The following is a 7,108-nucleotide window of genomic DNA, read 5'->3' as shown; positions in this document are numbered from 1 at the left end:
TGTCCTCAGCAGAGCACTACTGAGCCCAGAGTCCAAACAAAATATAAAGAAATAAGGATGTCAGATCAAAAAACACCTACAGCCCAGCCTGGTTGGGTGGTAAAGACAAGAATGCCCCCTCCTAAACCTTCAGAAGTTGAAGAGCCCTTCCACGTTTCAAAAGGGGCCTGCAAAAGCCAGGTTTCCAGCCTTTGGTTCCCACTTCCCCAAACAAACGAAAGTTATTCTGCATTGCAAGGCAACAAACAAGTGAGCTCCAGAAAAGCAGGCTTCCTCCTGTAATCCGTTTTTGCCCATTCTTTTTCCCAAACCATAGAATAGGAAACAAAATGTTACAACAAACCCTCAACCCCATGAAGGGCGTTCTACTCCCTTCCTGCCTGAGCACAGGTCCCCGAATATCACTTAGTTTTAGCACAATCTGCTTGGATAATATATGTTCTGTTTCCATGCGCACGCATTTCCATACATGCAGCAGATGAGCCAGAGAGATTTCTCTGAGCATGTAAATTCTTTCAGAGGAAACAGAGAAACAAGCCTTGTACAAATTTGGGAGAACACCCCCTTCTGACCACGTGGGAGATGGATGACCTGTTTACAACTGAAACCCATGCAGAACATTTTTCACTGCAGAACAAGCAGCTGACATGATTGCTGTCGGTGTTCACAGAGCCAAATATGAAGATAATTGTAAAGAAAGAGACGGTCGCATCGGATAGAAGATGTGATCCTGCTCTCACGTTTTTCCTTCTGGCATGACCATACACGTTTTGTAAGTGGGGAGAAATCCTAATAAAAGCCCTATCCGTGCCGTTTTAGAAACTCTGAATAATGGCATGTCTGAGACTTTTTGTAACATTTTCAGTAGTTGAATCCAGTTTGTATTATCTTTCAACCCATTCTAAACACAGGTCAATACTGACTTTGCAAAGATCTAACTTTCACTTCTGCAAAGTGTTCTAAAACTTGTATTTATTTTTCTCCTTTCTGAAACACAGTCTGAATGTCTTTGTAGGAGCTTTAGTATTTTGGGTCTGGGCTGAAGCAAAATGAAACGGCATCATGCTGGCTAGAGTTCAGCATTTAACATTTTAGAAAAGTCTGTAGAGAGAGCTCAGCTGAAATAGACAGGAATCTACATTCATGTGGCCATCAAAGGAACAGAGCAAGCCGGCAGGGGCGGCCCCAGTGTGCGGCGTCGGGCTCAGAAGAAACACCAGCGATCCAGGGAGAATATTGGCAGGGGCAGGGAGAAAGAAAAGCTTTCTTGGGGCTACTGTTCTTAGAATTTTTCACCTGTGTACAAAAGGACAAGAGAAGCTGATCTCTGACGAGGACATTACTACATCAAAACCCAGCTTCCAGAGACTGCTTAAAACGGTCTCTGTTGCTCCTTGGATGCCCTGATTTACATGCAGTGGTGGGAAGGGAGCCACAGAGATGGCTCCAGCCCAGCGCCTGGCCCGCAGGGCTGGAACAGAACAAGCAGATTTCTAGGGCCTTGGAAAGACAAACGGTGCCTATGTGGTATACATCAACGAAACTCCAGGACAGCCTGGCACGCAGTGAGACATCAGTGAACAGTGAGAAGAGCTCTATCAAGGCCCCACGGGCTGCTGGGGCCTGGTCACCTGTTGCCTGTTCACAAAGGGGCAAGTGGTTGAGTTGCCAGCTCCGAGAGGGTTGATGAGCAGCACGCACGCTCCCTGGAGCCATGGTACTGACGTCTCCCCCAGGTCGGGGGCTGCCGTGCTTGGGAAGGGCACGGGGTCACTTGGGAAGGCTGATTACACAGGGAACTTTGAGCTCCAGCACACAGATGGGAGGGGAGTCGGGTGATGCGGGAACAAACACAGCTCACAAACAGAAAGATAAAACGCAGGGGCTGCCCATGAAGGGGAGGGTGCCCCTATCTCCCCAGTGGGGTAATTTCCAACTACAGAGAACAGTTGCTGCCTCAACAATAGAGAAGAACATTTTTACTGATGTGCTCAAGAAAAGATGGGACAATTCTTGGCAAGTAGATAAACATTAAAAAAAAAAAAACAGTGAATTTAAATATCAATGATTTTAAAAGGTAAAATTAGCCGACCTCTCAGAAAAGAATTGAGAGTAGATAGGAAGACGCCTACCTATTGAGAGAATTTGCCGAAGAAGATTTCAAAGGGTTTTTGTTGTGTTTTTGTTTTCCGGTAATAACAGCTCTATCAGCAGCAATGTAAACTATGAATAGAAATAATAATATTTAGTAATCCAATCACAAGAAGAACTGTCGGAAGCTCACAGTTCTGTTTCTTTTTGATCCAATTTTAGATTTTCCCTACAAAAGAGAAAAAACAAGGATTGTGATAAAAACTCATTTTCTTCTCTCGTTTAAAAAACATTCATTCCATAATTAGAAGCAATTTTTGATTCCATACTAATGAAGTTATATGGATGCAGGGGCATTTGAGATCCACAGCTAATTCATAAATAGGATCTTGCCAAGAATTTCAGCCTCTCCCCCAGGTGACCTGTACATAGAGGGTGCTGCAAGTAAGGAAACCTGTTTTGATCTTGGGTGTTTTAGCTTTTTTGTGCCTAGTGTTAGGTGAACCAACACAGAAGCAAATTCAGCAGTCATAGCTATTCTTCTGTAAGCTGTAGGCTGACTCTGATAGGAACTCATTCTGGGTGTCAGGAGGCTTCAGGGGCGAGTTACAGGCAGCTGAGTCTAGTGCCAGCTGCTAGGAGTTCTGGGAGTGAGGAGCTGTAATCAGGCAGGAGAGGCTGGCAAAATTCTAATTCAATTCTAGGGAATACCTATTTCCAAAGGAAGCTGTCATCAAAAGAGGAAATGGTGCAGTGGCCTTGGGAGTTCTGAGCAGAGGCTCAGTGTAGATAGAGGGTTAAACTCTATTTTCTTATTTTCTGTATTCTTGATACTCTGGCATTTGGGGCTTTGATGCTGGAGAGACTGTCCCTTCCAGGGCTACCTAATTCCTAGAAATAGCAAACAATTCCCCTGTGAGCATGCTTTTGATAAACCAACCAGTCTAGAGCTCACACCCTCAACCAACCCTTTCATCAAACTCTCACTCACCAAACCAATACACCCCCTGCCCTATGTCACCCCAGGGCCAGGGACCTGCCAACTAGAGACCACCTTTATAGCACTGGGCCGCTCGAATAATTTAAAGTATCCAATACTAAGTCTACTCAGCTTACTTACCCTGCCTGGCTTATTCCTTCCCTCGTAAATCCCAGTAAAGGTCCCAGCCACACGGTGCCCACATCCTTGTTTCCTGACCATCCCTGGTCTTTCTGGCATGGTGGGGCTTAAAATGCCCCGTGCCTGTGGGGATCTGTGAGTGCAAACTTCCTCACAGCCGTCATTTCTGCGTCTGCCGTCTTACCATACCTGACACTAAAACAAACCCCAGGTACATATTTAACTCAACAGGGTTATGGACCATGAAAGCTTGGGTGGTTCATGAACTTCCCTGCTCCTAAGCATTGCCGTGGAGATCAGCTATGCAGACCTTTTGGCTGCAGCTCCAGAAATGGGGGTGAGCGGCCCAGAACCTGCGTTTCTAAAGGCACCTCCATACAACTCTGCTCAACGTGGTGTGAGTAGCAGAAAATAGCACTAGGAGAACCTAGCCACCAGGAGCAGAACTGGTAGAACCAGGTCAAGAAGAGAGCCCTCACTTTAAAACTTACTTTCTGATGCAGCAATTCCAATTCTAGAAAATTATCGTATAAATATGATCTATAAAATATTTATATGATAAATAAGGAAATAACTAAATATGCACAAGTATCCTTGGAAACCTTTTTATATTACACATAATTTGCAGTAAAAAAAAATCATACTAAAGAGGCCACGTTAGATTGGTTAAGTATTACATATAATGATATATAGTTATACAGTGTACTATTTAGCAGTCATCTGGCATAATGTTCCATGGCATATGAAAATATTAATAATATGTTGTTAACTTTAAAAATCAGCCAACAAAACAGTATAATGATATAATCCTTTTTCATTAAATATACATAGACATATATACAGAGGTTAAAGCCTGGGGTTATCTCTGGTTCATGTCGTTACAAATATTTTGTGTATGTGTTTATTTTTCTGCATTTTCCAAATTCTGTACAGTGCACATGAATAATAAATTAATTTCATTGTTTTCTAGCGTGCAGGCTGTGTTCTCCCTAGGGCAGGACAAAGAAGGAATTTGGAAAATCACATACCTCTCCCCCAAAGACCGAGAAGCTCTCTAAATAATGAGCATTCGCTAACCCCCGGGCCATTTGGCCTTTGGACACAGCATGATAGAAGTTGCTTTCTGGGCCTCACTTGCTACGGGTGAGAGTTCCTGACACCTGGAGAGGCTGAGCCCAGGCTCTAAATGAGACCTGGTGGCTCCAGGTGACTGGAGGCCCACTCGGCAAGAGGGGTGTTATTAGGCCTAAGTGGGGACTGCAGGGGCTGTGGTTATGCTCCAGTTGGTGTAGAGAATTCATAATTAGCAACAGCAGGATTATAAAGCAAGGAGCCAGAAAGAGAAATAAGGGAGGGGAAATAACCTACCAGGAAAGGGCAAGAATAATCCACTCATGACATTATCAATCCCATAATAACCAAGTGATGATAGTGCCTACATTAAATACACTTCAAAAATAATCAATGCAAAGAGTAGGATAAAAACAATTTGTGAGAAGGGTAAGCATTAGAGTATAGAGCAGTTAATACAGCTACAAGGAAAAGAAATCAATATAGATTAATTCATTTCAAGGTCTCTCGTTTATTAGGAAACCGTTATTTCTTTTTGTCACTTTTCAATCCCTCAAGGATGCTCAGAGGAACAACAAATGCTCGGATTTCCACAAAAAATCTGAAAACTCAGGTGTGTTTGAAATGAATGCTCTGAAAATACTTGTTGCATGTAATTGGAATTATGTAGTATTTTTGTAATTAACAAAGAATTGTTATGAAAATGTGGGGGACCCCAAATTTTAAGTCTGCTATATTCCAAGGCAGCTGCCTTCTGACAAATAACCTGTGACAATTTCATAATATAGGGTTCCGAAACCTCATTAAGCCACACGCGTGGTGCAGCTGAAGCACTCATTGCTTTCCAAGGGTTTGTGAAAATGTAATTAGGCAAACCACAGGCATCTGCAAATGTGGTGCTTTTGCTCCAGATGGATGGAATCTCAGGGCGCCCCAGAGCTTTCACAGGGACGATTTTTCTCAGTGTCAGTGACTTGAACACACACCTAAGATGGTCTTTTTGCTCTTGCAGGAGAAAATGTTGCCAAATGGGTAGACTAAACAATGAATGGCTGCCGGGTTTAGTCATACCTCTCTGTGTGAGCCGTCAATTGCTGACGGGAGCTAGGACATTATTCCAGCTACAAAATGGGCGCGTGATCCTGGAAACTGATGCATGGGCCTTGCAAGCTACGTCTATAGAATTGGCTGTAGGTACTAAGCACAGAAGACCATCGGATCCCTGTGGAGCCCGACCCCACTGCTTCACCCGTGTGGTCCAAGCTGCTCCCTGGATGTCAAGGATTGGCCATTCCTGTGGTGTCAGTAGTGAGTGCTTGGATGAATGTGAGATCTATAGGCTGGTGATGCAGATGGTGACGGGAAGAGACAGTAGAGATGCCAACACACTCCCTGGACGGTGTTTCTGGAGGGAAAAGGTCCGCGTCTGGCGAGCCAGTGGAATGTGCTGTGGCAGAAAATCCACAGGCTCTGGAATCTGACTGTCAGAGCCTGGGCCCTGGATACAGTGTCTACCACCTTTGTGATCTGTGGCATGTTATTTAGTATCTTGGAGCCTCAGTTTACCTTCTGTATTATTAGGGTAATAATGTTTTCTTTTGGGGCTTTTGGTGAGGATTAAATGATATATGGAAAGCTTATTTTGAAAAGTATTAATTGATGTACTCCTAAATTCACACACACACTCACGCACACACTTGCACACCCCCATACACACACCCACACCCTGTTATCTCATCCATGCTTTATATGATTTACTAATATTTAGGTCTTTTAGCAGGTCCATCTTAGTAAATGAAAGTTGAATCAGACAAAAAGAAATACATAAAATTCTCGGCTTTAAATGAAAAGCAAAACAAATAACCCTCACGGAGGGGTAAGACGGGAACACTTGGGAAGCACATCTGTTTTGTCAGAGCTGCGTGGCTCTCCCACAGCCCCTCCCAGATGGCTGCAGAGACCCCCCGGCACGAGTTGCTGAAGAGCCCCCCGCCTGAGAGGAAGGGAGAAGGTGGGACACAGGGGCTTGCCATGATCAGGGCCCGACCACAAATAACAAACACGAAGTCTGGCTAACCTAAAGAGAAAATGCATGTATTAGAGGGATATTAGGAAGGCTGGAAACACAGATTTGGAAGATGGAGAGCAGTCAAGAGACTCTGGTAGTGAGAGCCCCGCCAAGGTCCCCTCCCAGAGTCACCTGGTTAGAACGAGGCCGCCAAGGCTGCAGGAACTTGCCCCTGGTATCCCCGCTACCGGAGGCGGACGGGGGATGTCACTGAAAGGTGCTGCAGGAGGAACTGACATTTTGTGACTCTGGCTGCAGATGGAAGGTCCTGAGGGTCATGGCCCACCAGCTGGCGACTCCCAGGCGTCTAATCTCTCAGGATTCCAAGGTAGGTGGGGGGCCTGCTTTCCACCAGCTCCCCAAATGGCCAGCGTTGTCACATAGGAAGGAGGCTTGGACTCTGGGTGACACACAAAAGCAAAAAGCCCCCTGACGCGTCCACTGCAGCCCCATGGTGTCTTGCCCTCCCTCCTGAGATTAGCCCGTGGGGTGTCTTGAAGGGAGAGCCCTGAAAGAATAGCCAGAGAGGCCCCATGATTTCAGGACAGAGGGGCTCTGTGTTTGCTTCTGGGAAGGCAACCAGGGTCCCAGACATCTTTACCTGCACCAGCCGAGGTGGAGGTAGCAGTGAGCAGATGGCGTCAGGGAGAATCCAGGTTGGAAAGGCCAGTTACAGTCAGCTGAGTGTCTGTGGCCTTGGGCAGCAAGGACAGCCCAAAGTTCCCAGGCTCTGCTGGGAAACTTTCGGAGGAGGACCA

At 45.5% G+C, this 7,108-nt stretch overlaps 1 long non-coding RNA gene across 1 annotated transcript; it reads left to right on the top strand.

The window, feature by feature from the left end:
* Positions 1 to 626: 626 nt before the first annotated feature.
* On the top strand, positions 627 to 5,920 carry LOC112577592 (uncharacterized). Its single transcript, NR_172881.1, has 2 exons — positions 627 to 772; positions 5,295 to 5,920. It is a non-coding gene; the product is annotated as an uncharacterized LOC112577592 (long non-coding RNA).
* Positions 5,921 to 7,108: the final 1,188 nt, after the last annotated feature.

Source organism: Homo sapiens, chromosome 18 (genome assembly GCF_000001405.40).
Source record: "Homo sapiens chromosome 18, GRCh38.p14 Primary Assembly".
NCBI lineage: Eukaryota > Metazoa > Chordata > Mammalia > Primates > Hominidae > Homo > Homo sapiens.
The sequence above is the reverse complement of the archived record's forward strand: the minus strand, read 5'-3'. Positions and strand labels throughout refer to the sequence as shown.